The 16341-nt window shown below is 37.5% G+C and overlaps 1 protein-coding gene across 36 annotated transcripts in view; it reads right to left on the bottom strand.

Annotated features, from left to right (window-relative positions):
• The window catches only part of PCCA (propionyl-CoA carboxylase subunit alpha), a 441343-nt gene that overhangs the window by 248483 nt on the left and 176519 nt on the right, over window positions 1-16341 (bottom strand). For all 36 annotated transcript variants that reach the window (NR_148030.2, NR_148027.2, NR_148028.2 and 33 more), the window contains 2 exons: window positions 13170-13264; window positions 8607-8757 (listed from right to left, as the gene is read on the bottom strand). Coding sequence is in view for 30 of the 36 variants with exons in the window: in XM_017020609.2 (XP_016876098.1) it covers window positions 8607-8757; window positions 13170-13264 (246 nt within the window). In the remaining 6 variants the exon portion in view is untranslated. The remainder of the gene's footprint in view (window positions 1-8606; window positions 8758-13169; window positions 13265-16341) is intronic.

Genomic DNA, 16341 nt, shown 5'->3' with positions numbered 1-16341 from the left:
AAACTGATAATACTTAACTAATTTATAAAAGCACATATATTCCCAGCAATTCTACTTCTGCACGTGCAAAGTGGATATAAAGGGTCACTCATAATTGCATTATTTGGGATAGCAAAATACTGGAAAAATTATCGATAGAGATCTGGTGAAATTATATGACTGTTACATCCCTATGACAGGTTATTAGAAGTCATTAAAATGAAAAAGATAATGCTTTAAATTAGGCATGGAATACTCCCAAATTAGTATGTTAAAAAAAACAAAGGTTGCTTCAACAGAGGAAAAATAAATGGCTGTGATAAAAGTGTGGTATGGAGAGTAACTTTTCCATTGTAGACTCTTATGAACCACTAGATTTTTTTAAACAAAGTATTATAAATTCTGAGTATTACCATTCAACAAAATAAGAAACTAAAATTATCCCAGCAAATTGCATATATAGTAGTCCCCCCTTATCCTTGGGGGACATGTTCCTAGGTCCCCAGCAAATGCCTGAAACTGTGGATAGTATAGAACATGATTGCTGTCAATTAGAACACTTTTCTATTCATGTCTTATACACACACATTTAATGTCTTTTCCATCTTAAGCACTTATCATGCACTGTGGCCATAACTTTTGAAGTTTGACTTTTGACAGCAAAAGTAGCACAAATTTCTTTTCCTTCTTCACAATGCCACCGACGGAAGATTCATCCTTACCGCAGAGCTTAGCAACCTCAGCACATGACTCTTTTCTTTCCTTATTAAGTCTAGAACTTTCACCTTTTCACTTAAAGGAAGCACTTTATGGCTTCTCTCTGGCATATGTGAATTGCCAGCAACACTACTCTTGTATGCTGGGGCCATTATGAAATAAAGTAGAGGTGACTTGAACATAAGCACTGAGGTATCATACAGTCGATGTGATCACCGAGGCGGATTTTTTTTTCCTTCTGTTTTTTCTTGTTGTTGTTGTTTGTTTGTTTGTTTTTCAGAGACAGGGTCTCGCTCTGTCCAGGCTGGAGTGCAGTGGCACCATCATGTCTCATTGCAGTGAGGTAGCTTCTAAGTGACTCATGGAGAGGGAGTGTCTACAGCATGGAGATGCCAGACAAAGAGAGGATCCACGTACCAGGCAGGATGGAGCAGGATGGTGTGAGATTTCATCACACTACTCAGGATAGTGCACAATCTAACACTTATGAATTGTTTATTTCTAAAGTTTTCCATTTAATATATTTGAAATGAAGTAGACCCTGTGTGTAGCTGAAACTTTGGAAAGGAAAACTATGGATAAGGGGGACTACTAGAATACACTTCAATAAAATAGCATTTTAACAAAATCCTAGTGTCCGTAGAGTAGTTCTCCATCTAGCTGTCCATCTTTCAAATGTGGAGAGAGGTGAGATGAGGGAGAAGTATGGTCAGAGAGGGGAGACAGGTGTGTGTGGTGTGGGTGTGCAGGTAGATACATAGCTCAGTGTTCACTGTGAGAGGTGAACAGAGAACATTCCAAGCAATGGGAGTGGCATGATACAAGGCACAAAGAAGTCAAACTGAAAGGCACCTTCAGGAAAAAGAAAGGAGTCTCTTGCAATTCATACACAGAGATCGGCACTGGCAAGAAACAGGACTCTGGGGGAAAAATCAGGGCTACAAAAAAAAAAGCTTGTGTTGTGATGCAAAAGCATTTAAATTTTATCTTTAAGCAACAGAAAACCAGTGACTTAAAAAAAATAAAGCAAAAATATGTGAAGATAGCAAAGGTAATTCAGTTACATAAACTGTGACCAGATTGAGAACAAAACCAGTCAACGGAACCAACTATTAATGCACCAAACGCGGTGACTTTCTTAGTGTTGCATCTCTTTATGGAGAAACTGTATTGTTATTTCAAATTTCACTCTTAAGAAAATGTAGAAAGTGAAGATGCATTTCTGTTACCAAAAAAAAAAAAAACAAAAACAAAAACAAAACACAGTTCTGAAGCTGGAAAAAGTGAAAGTTCAATCAGGAAATTTCAAAGAAAATAAAAAAAGAACAAAGAAAATTATAGCCCTCTAGTTCAAACTGAAACACTAATTAGAGATAACATATATCTTGGGAGATAAAGAATTTGGTGAATGTGCCTTAAGTATTATAATTTAAGGTTAGTAAAGAAATTTGAAAGAGAATGTCTACTATTAAAAGAACACTTGGGCCAGGCGCGGTGGCTCATGCCTGTAATCCCAGCACTTTGGGAGGTCGATGCAGGTGGATCATGAGGTCAAGAGATCGAGACCATCCTGGCCAACATGGTAAAACCCCATCTCTACTAAAAAAACAAAAATTAGCTAGGCGTGGTGGTATGCGCCTGTAGTCCCAGCTACTCCGGAGGCTGAGGCAGGAGAATTGTTTGAATCTGGGAGGTGGAGGCTGCAGTGAGCCAAGATCGTGCCACTACACTCCAGCCTGGTGACAGAGCAAGACTCCGTCTCAAAAAAAAACAAATTGGATTGTTTAAACAATATCAGAAAGAAATCTTTGGAATATGTAAGAATAGTTTTCTGAACACATATGAAGTCCAAAATTCTTTGTTCATGCTCCCATTTAATTATATCCTCCACATCAAATACCCCCTATCACACAGATACATTCTAAAAAATTAAAATTAACTTATTCTGGTAACTGACAGGATCACAGTCACTGGAAGTAAACCACAAGAGAGAAAAATATGATTAAACACTACATGGGAGACAAATGTCTCAAAGTATGATGTTAAATATCATAGAATGCTATTAAAATAGCACGCTTAACAGCATTAGGTACTATCAGAGCTCTGTTCGTGAACAAGAGCTCTAATCAGTCAGAGACCTTGGGACGTTTGCTAAGCGCAGGTATTAGTGAAATATTTTCTCACAGTGTGGGGCCCAGACCACCGGTGAGAAGTGGGGCAATTTCAGGCCGAACATGGACATGACATTCTATAGCACTGATTCATATCATTATGAGTTAATGATTCACAATTTTTGTCATATTAGATCTGGTAATATGACAAAATCTTTGTGAATTTGATTTTTTTTCTTGAAATATTTTTATAATTTTTTGAGGGTATAGAACATAATTTCCTAGCAAGCTATCCAATACACAAAACATAGGTACTTAGATAGTCTTGACCAACTGCATAGAATTATTCGATAAAAATATCAACTACAGGATGGGCACGGAGGCTCACGCCTGTAATACCAGCACTTTGGTAGGCCCAGGCAGGTGGATCACAAGGTCAAGAAACTGAGACCATCCTGGTCAACGTGGTGAAACCCTGTCTCTACTAAAAATACAAAAATTAGCTGGGCGTAGTGGCACGCACCTATAGTCCCAACTACTCTGGAGGCTAAGGCAGGAGAATTGCCTGAACCCGGGAGGCGGAGGTTTGCAGGCCGAGATCACGCCACTGCACCCCAGCCTGGTGACAGAGTGAGACTCTGTTTAAAAAAAAAAAAAAAATCAACTATCGGGTTTTATACCAGAAACAACCATGGTACAAACTTGAACAAACTTATAACCTGAGATAAATGAGCCAGAAACAAATGGAAAAAAAGATAACACAAGAACAGAATAACAAACTGCCCATTTGTCAATTCCATAAATACTGATAAGTACCTCAATTAAAAAATCTCAGATCTCTTTGGTCTAGAATAGAATACAAATATTTTGCAGTCGTCTCAAATTGTCTTCAGAATCAAATTACAAGCTATTTTTCTCATTATGACAAAATAAAGTCTTCACTTTAACCAAAAACATGATTTCCCAGCTAATAATCTAATTAGACATACTTAGTTATAAAGATACATTTTAATCAAAATCAAATTAACCTTCAAAAGGCAAAATTCTGTCACTTCTAAAGATAGTCACAAAATAAAATATAGGCTACAAAGGTGATTTCAAAGGAAGTATGAGTTTTAAGCAACAACTACTGAGCTACTACCTATAAAATGCTACAAGTATTTACAATACTAGTCTCAAAATGCATCTAGATAGATCACTTTTGCCATACTTAAGGAAAATCAGCCACATTATTTGACAGTTATACTTTACAATGAAAATACAGCAATGTTTTTAACTTTTTACATATAACTTACAGATTAAAATTTTGGTGATTATATTCATGTGAAAATGGTGGGCTGGCACTGAACTTTCCCTCCAAACTCCTTCTAGGGTATACTCTTACACTGCAGAATACAGATGGTTAAAAAGCCTATTCCCAGACTCCCTTACAGCTGAGGTTTCCATGTGACTGCATGAGGTTCTGGATGTGCAAATGCATGAGATTTGGAAAGGAAAAGTGAGATAGCAGTGAGGCACAGACTGTCATTCCACTGCCCGCTCACTGCTTTTGGGGGGTGTTGAGAGTCAGGACACAAACTTATTTAATCTATAGGCATAATGTACCTCTAAAGCCACTCAGCTTGGAACTTGGGCTTATTGGGGACTAGAAAACAACTGGTGGGGAATGGGAGATGGGGGAGGTCTTCTTAAAAACATCACAGGGTAAGAATATAGGAAGGGATCAGCCAAAACCAAGATGAAAACACAGATTTGCAAACCCAACACTCAACACCATTTTTGCCCTAACGTCATTTGCCATTCCAGGAAAAAAGGACTATGAATATAAGCTATACTTTTGGTGGCATCAACAAATCAAAAGCATAACCACGAAGATAAGAGGCCACCAAAGTATCAGTTTATCAAAGAACCTTGATAAACTACCCCCACTTTTAGTGGGCACCATAAAGGAATGCAACCTCAAGATAAGACTGAACTGGAATAAAACCAACCATTCTCTAGAACTGCAACCGGGCTGTGTATCCCCTCAGGAGTTCAAGGAGCCTTACACTTTGAGCTTAGATTGCCGTAGTCACAAATACTACTGTCCATAGGCATGTGGCAGAAAAAAATTTGAAAAATCTCTATAAGAAAGAATCCATCATCTTAGGTTTTGATTAATAACAATTTTTAAAATAACTGTATATGACAGTATAATAACAAGGCCCAACAGGAACTCAACAGCAGAACCAAGAAACAGCATAAAAAGCAGTTAATACAAGTAGTCATAAGACTTCACATGTCAACATTATCAGACATGTACTACAAAACAAATAAGTTAATTATGTTCAAAAAATAAAAGTCAAAATTGAAAATTCAAATAGGAGACAAGAAAAGATAAAAACCAATGAATCATACTTTTAAAAGAACCAAATAGAAATTTCAGAACTGAAATATAAACAATTGAAATCAGGAACTCAATGGGTGATTAATTAATTAAATACAGCATAAGGGAAGGTAAGAAAGACAGAAGAAATTATCCAAAAAAGATGAAAAATATCAAAGAGAGCATAAGAAACATAAGAGATATATTAAGGAGGTCTAAAATGAAAGTTATAGGTTTATTCATCTGTGTATGTGAGATTGTTCCAGAAGTAATAATGGTGGAGAATTTCCAAAAAAAATTAAAAGACATTAATCTACAGACAAAATATTCAATGAATTCCATGTATACATGTACACGAATCAGCAAAAAGTTAAAGGAAATCTAACAAAAACAGAAATTAATAAATGCTACCAAAAGGAAAAATCAATTATGTCCAAATAAGCAGAATGCAGAATGAGTGGGGAAGTCTCACCAGAAACAGTGAAATAATATTTTCAATAAATTGAAAAAAATACTGGCCAAACTAAGATTTCTAATTTTTTTTTTTTTTTTTTTTTTTTTTTTTTTGGTACAGACAAGTTCTCACTATGTTACCCAGACTGATCTTGAACTCCTGGGCTCAAGGGATCCTCCCACCTCAGCCTCCCAAAGCACTGGGATTACAGGGGTGAGCCACGGCCCACAGCCAAGACGTCTAAGAAGAGTAAAAACGCATTTCATGAACAAGGCAACATAAAGTCATTGGCTGTCAACAAAAAGAGATTGTCCCAAGTAAACCTCTAAAAGAAACTACCAGAAACAAAGACAAAGAAAGGTAAATATGTGGGAGGAATGGAATGAATGATGACTAAAATAATAAGAGAAATGGCCTCGGGGGATAATTGTACCCAAGTCAGGAGACAGTAAACGGACTTTAAATGTTCTAAGCTCCCTTGTCAGTCTGGCAGCTCAGGTGAAAAGACACTGTTATCAGTTTTTGATAAATTAAGGATGTGTGTTGTAATGTAGAGGTTCTACCAAAAGATCAGCAGTATTTATAACCCCCAAACTTGTACAGGAAAAAATTAAATGATAAATACTGCAAAAGAAAGAAAAAAAAAGGAAAAAGGCCAGAGATTGGACAAGAAGAAAACATTTTTAAAAATTAGAAATTTAAACTCAAAAATACCAGCATTTCTGTCAACTTTCTAAGGAGCAAATGGTCAAGATACAAGACAAACATATCAAACTGGGCTGAAAAATTATACACTGCTTACAGAGGCACACGTGAACTGTCTTCAAACAGGTAGGTCGAGAGTAAAAGCATGAAGAAAGCCATAGCACGCAAAAGATAACCATCAGGAAAGAGGCAGAAATCCACCTGGAGCCCAGAACATCAGCTTCCCCACGGCTGGGGAGCAGCAGGGCCACTACTGAACTCACCTCAAAGTTCAAGGACACAAGGACGGTCTACCGCCACGGCACAGCGAACAGAAAACAGCCCTCCTGCACCCATGGTAGGGCTAACCAGGGCCCACAGGAGTCTCCCTCTGGGAAAGAGGCACAGGCATGAAGACACGGCTCCCATGAAGCACAGGGTCAGAGGCAAGCCCTCAAGCTCAGGATGAAGCAGGCATGCAGAAATCCCACAAGCGGCCCCTTGGTGCACGTGAGAAAACCACTGCAGGAAGGCTTAAGCTCGACCCAGCTCATGCCTGCAGTGACTCAACACCCCCTCCCCCCCCACCCCCTCCCCCAAGGGCCTAACGGAAGAAGAGTTGACACTGTTTTCAGGCATAAGTATGCCTTCCTCAGTCTCTCCTGTCCTATTCCACCCCTTAGCCATCAGCCCATAATCCCCCCACTCACCCACCCCAGTCCTAGGCAAGTACTAATCTATTTATCTCTGTAGGCCATATGTGTTTTTTGAATGGTGAATTGGACTGAAGAGTGTCGTGTCAAAATTCACATCCACTCACAACCTGTGACTGTGACCTTACTTGAAAACAGGATCTTGGCAGAGGAAATCACGTATGATGAGGCCGTACTAAATGGGAAGGGTCCTGAATCCAATGTGACTAGTGTCCCTACAGAAAACGGGAACCCTGGGCACAGAGATGCACAGAGAGAAGGCAATATGACAACTGAGGCAGGGATTAGAGTTATGCTGCCAAAGCCAAGGAACACCAAGGACTGTCGGCAACACCAGAACCAGGAGAGAGGCATGGAGTGGATTCTCCCTCCAACCCCCCAGGAAGGAACCCACTCGGCTGGAACCTGCATGATAGACTCTGGCCTCCTGAAGTGTACGAGAACAAATTTCTGTTGTGTTAAGCTATAGTTAATGATCATTTGTTATGGTAGTCCTAGCAAACTAACACAAATTCCATAAAACTGGAAATAAACTATCTACAGAAATCTAACAGATAAAGAAATAGTGGCATTTTCTTAGAAAATGTATCATACAGGAGTTCCATGAAATAGCACAAATCTCACAAATGCCATGCTGAAAAAAGAAGCCAGGCACAAAAGAACGAATACTATACGATCCCATTAATATAGTTTTAAAAAACAAACAAAAGTAATAATGCTGCTTAGGTATGCGTAATTCAAAGGAAGAATGATATGAAAACTGAAGGTTCTGAGAAGTCAGTCAGATAGGAGACAGCTCTAGGGAAGATGGAGGGGGAATCAGAATCATTGAGAAGGAGAAGAAAATGAGGCTAGTGTAAAAAGAGCTGGCTGTTTTGTAAATACTTCTAGGCCCAGTTGATGTTTACATTGATTTTTGCTTTATAATAATACATTCAATTATTCACCTGTGTTCTATGTATGTTTCTGTATAGTTCACAATTTAAATGAAAGAAAAAAGGGAAGAAGGAAGGAAATAAAGCCACCGGTTACAACGCCAGTCGCTTCCTGAGATTTGGTTAGAACTAAGGAAGTTATGTCCCCCAAAGCCAACAGTTCCAAGGGCAGCCACTTGATTCTCAACGTCCTCACTGTGGCAGAGGTGCCGGTTCCTCTGGGAGCCTGGCTGAGTGGTACAGCAGTGGGAGTCACCACCGAAGTTCACTCTGGGTACCCTTCCTTCCTCCATCCTTCCAAAGATTTTGCAATCACTGTATCACTTCCTATTTGTAATATCTAGAGTAATTTTTCTTAACAGCACATACACACTGACAAATACAGTTCATCTAGAAAGGTTCAAGAAAAAAACAAAGTGGTATTTCCAACATAAAGTATTAACAGTGACAAAGCAGAGGTCTAGACATTGAACTTTAGAGGGATACTATCCGTCATTCCTAACAGATGTCTTAGCACAAGCATAAAAACTAAATCTTTATTTAACACTTTATGGAGTTAATTTTTTAACATTTATAAAACAAAAAAGGGTGGAGAAGGAAGGGTAAAGTACAGAGGCATGGAGAGGAATAAATAACAGTTGTTGTTACCTGGAGTCTTGTATTCATTTCCAAGAAATAAAAATTCTTCTTAGAGTCCACAAGGAACTCCACGGTCCCAGCAGAGGAATATTTTACTGCTCTGGCAAGAGCTACAGCTTGTTCTCCCATCGCTCTTCGAGTCTCCGCATCCAAAAAAATGCTACATATACAAAAAAATGTTTGTCTACATTTCGGACAAAAATCAAGTTATCTTTTGTGTGCATTACATAAACATTTTCTTAAAGTTTACTCAGATATAGATCATCTATACCAATTTAAGAATTCAAAATATTGTGCTTTATATATGTTTTATAATATATGTTGACTATATTATTAAGCATAACATGCTCAAATAAGTCAACTTTAGATTTGTATAAAACATTTGAACTTTTCACATTACTCTGCAACTTCAATCCATTCACAAAATATATAACTACTCTTCAACTTCTAATATTTAACATATATATTCAGAATTGCTTCGAGCCAAAAACTGGGAGAAAAATAACTTATTAGTATCTAACATACACAATCAATCCTCATTGCTCATGTAGTCCATATTTACAAATCTGCCTACTTGCTGAAATTTATTTGTAACCCCAAAATCAATACTTAAGGCGCTTTCATGGTCCTTTGTGAACAAGTGCAGAGAGGTGAAAAATTTGAGACTCCAGTATGCTAAGGCTGAACAAGGTGATGCTCTCCCTTCTCGTTTCAATGCTCATACTATAACAAGCATCCTTTTCAAGGTCTGTTTAGTGTCACTTTTTTTGCATTTGTGTGTGTGTGTGTGTCATTTCATGGTGTGAAATGGCCCATCAAGCATTGTCCTTAGGTGCTGTCTGGGGTTCCCATGTGCAAGAAGGCCATGAAGTACTGTCTGGAGAAAATGTGTGTGGGATAAGCTTTACTCAGGCACGTGTTATAGTCTTGTTGGCCAGGATTGTGAGTTCACTGTTAATGAATCAACCACAGATATTAAATGAGAAATACACAAAAAACAAAATTATGTATTAATCCACTGAGGAAAATGTTATAAGCAAAGGCTCGCAGGAACCTAACCCTGTATTTCCCCTAGGGGAAATTATTCAGTGTTCACTAATTCAGTAATCAAGGTGACTTTAGAGAACATAACTGCCACAAATAACAAGAATCAGCAATACATCCACTAAATCCTGCACGTTTGGCTTCAAGATACCAAACCCACCTTCAAGCAGGCAAGTTAAGCTAAAATGACTTCAACAAACCCTGAAAAAAATATCATCAAACCACTTTGCATTTTCACAGATTTTGCTTCTATGAAAGAAAGGCTCTGAGAAACAAAACATTAACTACTTTTCTACTTGTGGATTAAAATTATTCTCAAATGAGCAGGATTGAGATGACATGCTATAAAAGCTTTATTATGGAATAGTATAAAAAACTTGCATGAAGCTGCCTCCAATATATAGCAATTATTAATACATAGCCACTCTGGCTTTATCTATGCTACTTGCCCACTTCTCTACCAGGCCCACCCTTTATTGTTTTTAAAGTAAATCCCAAATTAGGTATCATTTCACTTTTAAAAACATACATGTCTGTTTCTATGAGATAAAGTACCCTTTTGTAACACAACTACACAAAAAACAAGAACTCCTTAAAAGCATTTAATATCCACTTGGTATTCAAATTTCTCTATCTCATAAATATCTTTATACAGCTGATTTCTTTGAATCAGGATCCAAATAAGGTCCAAAACTGCATTTGATTGGCTTTTGTATCTTAAGACTCTTTTAATCTGTAATGCCCCTTCCCCATTTTCTGGCCAAGGATCTGGTCATTTTACTGTCTTATTTCTCACATTCTTGGTTCAACTGCATGCAACCCCACGGTGTCTTTTAACATTCATATTACATTTCTATTTCATATAGATTGCTAGTTAGACTCAGAGCCTTGAATATATTCAAGTTGGATTGGGGTGGGGGAGGGGGAAGAGTTCACAGGTGGGAAGTGTACTTCCTACTGTCTCCCTTTTGGTGAAGTTACAATAAATCAATGGGTTCAAGTGTTATGAATTATCTATAATATAGTTTGCATTAACCTAATGTATAGACATAGATGACATTTCAACAATAACTGGCTGACAAAATTAATGCAACTAAAAAAAACCCCAACTAACAATTAATAGCATAACATCTGGAGAATCTCAGTGCAGCTCTGTGAAACTATCTTTCTCCTATTTGATCTTGCCCTTGCCCTTTTCAAAAGCCCTGCTAGATATCCAGAGATATGAGTGACCCTAGCTAGCATTGCCCTCAAAGCACATTAGTAGATTCTTTTTTTTATTTTTATTTTTCGGGGGGTGGGGGAGAACAGGGTCTTGCTCTGTCACCCAGGCTGGAATCTGGTGGCATGATGTCGGCTCACTGCAACCTCGACCTCTGGGGTTAAGCAATCCTCCCACTTCAGCCTCCCAAGTAGCTGGAACTATAGGCATATGCCACCACAGTCAGCTGATTTTTTACTTTTTTGTGAAGATGAGGTCCCACTACGTTGTCCAGGCTGGTCTCAAACTCTTAGGCTCAAGCAATCCTCCCACCTCAGCCTCCCAAAGTGCTAAGATTACAGGTGTGAGCCACCATGCCCAGCCGATTCTTACTCCAGGAACTGAAAACTACACATTCCATTTATTTTAACATTTCACAGTGTACAAATACATATCAGGTCAGTATTAATGATGAGTTCTAGCTTTTTCATTTTGATTCCTACTGCTGTATATTTTCCTTTTTTTCTCTAAATAAGTAGATAAGGTATTCATTATGAAAAGTTTGTATTTCTAGACAAAGAGAAAAAACAAACACATTTTATGATTCAAGGTTCCCAGTCTGGGAAAGATTTCTATCCCAGGTAACACTTGAGTAGGTTTTTACTAAAAACAGAGTGTTAATTGAATTGGAATTGATAATCAGTCAAGGAAACAGAAAATTGCAAGACATGTGTGTTGAAGACTCTTACTGTTCCACAGGTATCCTTTTTCCCCTTCCTCCATACTACAGTACTACAGTACTAGTTCTAGCTCAGCACATGGTTTCTTAAGAAAAAGATACTAACAAGTCTCCCTAGCTAAGTGTCTAACTTCAGATCAACACCAAGTAATTAGCTTCAGCACCTTCCAGGATCTTCCTAAAGACACAGGAAGAGGATTCCCTTTGGCTTTTCTTCTTCCTCCCTTCTTACATCCTGTTCCTGGGCCTTGAGAACTAGATGGCCACATCTTATGTAAGCTACACAGTTCTTCACAGCATACTGGCTGGTGTGTAAGCACAAGCATCCCATGAGAACAGGAAGCGGAAGCTGGCAGTTTCCCAAGGCCTGGGCTGGAAACTGGCACAGCATCACTTCTAAGTAGTCTACGGGTCAAGCCTTCACAGAGCACAGAATCAAGAAAAGGGAACAATGATCCTTCCCCTCACTGCTCAAAGAGAAAAATGGCAAAGGATTTGGGGTCCATGTTTTAAAACTAATAACACCATGCCATATTTTTAAAAACCAATGTAACTAAAATAGAGTTGAATTTTTACCATTACTCCGGGATTAAAAATATACTCACATTCTCACTTACTATTTTCAGAAACTATATAGGCATTATATCAAGATATGCTAGCTCTGCTGATTAAAGCTACAATAAGCTATACTTCTTACCGTCTGGTAATTAAAAATTACTAGGAACACTCACCTGAGGATTTTTAAGAACAAAGAGAATACCAGAGTATATACAAATAGCAACCTAGCATCAAATGAGAAATGAGGCCCCATACACCAAACTCATGAAAGATGCCCTGGAGAAGTACCCAAAGTGGCTCTGATAATTCAAGGAATTTCCAAGAACCACACTCCAGAAGCCTTTCATGGTAGGATAAATTCAGGACCAACTTTATGAACCCTTCACCAACATGAAAGTCTAGAAGGCATATATCTCAGAAATCCCGTGAAGTACCATCAGGTTCCATACTTCCTAGAAGCCTGCAGAAGTCACAGTTGGCTGTCTACCCAACTTTCTCCTCTAATAAAAACCCACTTCTTTTTCAAGTATTCTCTCCCTTTTACACATTAAAGCACTGAGGAAATCAAGTAACAAATTCTTAATTATAAAAATATGCAGTAACAGAGTCTACATGAACATTAGTGCAATTGTAGCTGATAAAGCAAACAAATAAAAAAAGAAATGTGGCTGGGAGCAGTGGCCCACACCTATAATCCCAGCACTTCGGGAGGCTGAGGTGGGCTAATCTTTTGATGCCAGGAGTTCAAGGCCAGCCTGAGCAACATGACAAAACCCCATCTCTACAAAACACAAAAATTAGCTGGGCATGGTGGCACACACCTGTAGTCCCGGCTACGTGGGAGGCTGAGTTGGGAGGATCACTTGAGCCTGGGAGGTGGAGGCTGCAGTGAGCCGTGATTGCACCACTGCCTGGGCAACAGAGTGAGACCCTGTCTCTGAATGCATGCGTCAGTGAATGATGAATGAATGAATGAATGAATGAAATGCATAAAAGCAGCCGCTTTATAAATGTTTCTTAGGAGACTTACCTTGGTGCTTCCTCCACCACCTTCTGATTTCTTCTCTGAATTGAGCACTCTCTTTCATTAAGCCATAAAGCATTCCCATGTTTATCACCTAGAACCTGAAAGAGCAATACCATTTGAAAAACCATATAACCACACCCACAAAGTAGATGATGGTTAATATTTTCCGCATGCAACATCTCTTGGTTTTTAATATTCAAACTTCATAGTATATACATACCTCTCAAAACATTATTTTGATTCATGTTAACAAAGGAAAACTATATTTATTACTCCAAAGCTCAATAAAACATTTTTATCAAAAAGATTTGAGGAAAAAGTGTTCATATCACCTTTCAAATACAACGAGTAAAACATCAGAATCAGTTGTACAAATTTTGTGAAGGACACTGAGTGTTAGTGAAGGGGATAAACACTGGATGTCAATGTTGCTGAGGAGTGCCACCGCAGCTTTATTACAAACATCTGCTTGATGTTAACATTATTAAATGTCTGTTGATTGGGAAATGACATTGTATGCATTTCCACCCAATATGTAATCTGTTATCTATCTATGGATGTCTGTACTGTGGTTTATTTTTGTTCTAGGAAACTGCTAAAGGTCTGGAGTTAATATACAAACATAATAGTTTTTCCCATTGAACATCTCTAACCAGAAAATCTGAAATCCAAAATGCTCCAAAAGCTGAAATTTTTTGACATCACGCTCAAAGGAAACAGTCACTGGAGCATTTCGAATTTTCAGATTAGGGATACCCAACCAGCAGGTATAAATGCAAATATTCCAAAACCCAAAAAAATCTGAAATCTGAAACACTTCTGGTCCCAAGCATTTCAGTTAAGAGATACATTCAACCTGTAATGGAAAATAAGCTGAGATTGCCAGATAAAATACAAGATATCCAGCTACATTTAAATTTCAGATAAACAATGAATAATTTTTTTCTAGCTATGTCCCAAGTACTACATGGAACAGTGATTTTAAAAAATCATTGTTAATCTGAAATTCAAATTTAACATGTATCTTTTTCAGCTAAATCTGGAAACTCAAAAGCAGCTCTTCATTAAAGTTTTTGCCTAGAACATCTGATTTTCAGAAACGGACCAATCTATTTTCAGATTTAAGGTGTTGATTTATATTTCTGAATACATATATTAGGTTTACAGAGGTAAGATCTGTTTTAGAAGCCCAAAGACCAGGCACTAATTTTAGTTCCAAACAGCTATGCAACTTCTCTGAACAAGTCATTCTGTTTCTTTGTGCATTATAAATAGCAGATAATATCAATCTTAATATTTGATATGGCTTCTGAAAAAAATCAAATAAAGATCATGGCTATAATTGGTAAAATGTAAAATAAATAGTTAATATATGACTGTAAAGTTAATTTTTAGGAACAAACCCTTTCTGAAACTCAAGAATGATTCCAAGCAATGAAGGAAAACATAACAGCAATAAAATGCCAATAAGCTGGAATTTTCTAAGACTCAAAGGTGGCTGCATGAAGTAAATCTAAAAATATTTGAAATCATTAAAATAACTCTCAACCTCTTTTTAAATTCTAGTTGACAAGAAAGTAAAAGTAGACAGTCTCCAAGAAATAAAGCCAAAATAACCAAGAATTCTCAGAAATATTTCCAACTATAAAATATCAGATTCATATACAGAATCAAGAGTTTGTTCTTCTCTAAATTCTGTATAGTCTCCCAGTTCATTTTTTAAAAATTCTGTGCACTTACTAGGCATTCAACAAAAATGATTTGCTGATTATTTATTCCATTAAATAAATGAGGAAGCCATGTAATCAGAAAACATTATAAATAAATACTGCTTTTAAGGGAAGTTAATCCTTAAATGCATCATGAGTTTTTTAAAAATTTTATAGGTTTACACGTACTGAATGTAGAAAAATCTCTAAGCTATACTGCTTCCTGAAAAAGCTTTATTATAATAGACAATGTCACATAATGCAAGCCTGTTGGTATCCCTAGACCCAACCCAGGAAATGCCAGTAGTGCCCTGGTTGAGAAATACTGGTTTATGCCACAAAGAGAGGTGCCATTCACACTACCAGTGCAGTTTCATTGTGGAAAGGACATAGTATATAATGGCTCATGTGAAAAATAATAGGTGACATACACACATATACTTCTTAGACTATGTATGGAGGAATAGCCAAGAAACAGTAACGGTGCCTGCATTTAGGGACAGAAACTAGAGGACTTAGAATAGAGTAAAAGGGATGCTTACTTTTTATTAATTACCCTTTATCATGTGCATAAATTACTTAATATAAATAAGTGAAAACTAAAGAAAAGTAAATTAAAAACCCTTCTAAGTATAGATGAGATATGAGAACATCTGTGTGGCCTATTAACTGGGAGGCATTTTCACTTATGTTTAAAAATATCACCCAGGCTGTATGCCATGGCTAAATAAAATAAACTAAAAAGCTGATCTAGGTATGTAATTATTTAACACAAAATAACAAACATTTATTGAGTATTAGTAATGTCAAAGACAATGGTCTGGTTGCTGGGGACAGCAAATGAGTAAGACCTACTCTCTACCCTTAAGGACCTCATGGCCTGTTACGAAATTCAACTAGTTAAAGATAAAACAGCCTACCTAAGTGGTCTTCCAGTAGTGTGAACAAGTGCTAGATGGGGAATACAGTGAAGGACAAAATTAATTCTGCCCCTACGATCTTACAAGAAGGACAATCTAAATATCTCCCTTAAATTACAGATTTAAATAGCCAACTGTCTACTCAACATCTACACTTAGATATCTAATGGGCATTTCAACCTTGATTTATCCAACTTTATAACCTGATTTCCTCCCTCAAAAACAAGCACATCTCACAGTCTTTCCTATCTCAGTAAAAGCCCACTCCATTCTTCTCATTTCTTAGGCCAAAACCCTAAAATCACCTTATTTTTTTTTCTTGTACATAACATCCATCTATTAGAAAATCTGGTCTACCTTCACAAAATATCCAGAATTCTAGCCTGGGAGAGAGAGTAAAATTCTGTCAGAAAGAAGGAGGGAGGGAGCGAAGGAGGGAGGGAGAGAGGGAAGAAAGAAAATTCAACATTGTTAAGATGTCAATTCTCCCCAGAATAATCTCTAGATTCAATACGACCCAAATACAAATCTCCCATCAGATGGGGT

This window comes from Homo sapiens, chromosome 13, assembly GCF_000001405.40.
Source record: "Homo sapiens chromosome 13, GRCh38.p14 Primary Assembly".
Classification (NCBI taxonomy): Eukaryota; Metazoa; Chordata; class Mammalia; order Primates; family Hominidae; genus Homo; species Homo sapiens.
The sequence above is the reverse complement of the archived record's forward strand: the minus strand, read 5'-3'. Positions and strand labels throughout refer to the sequence as shown.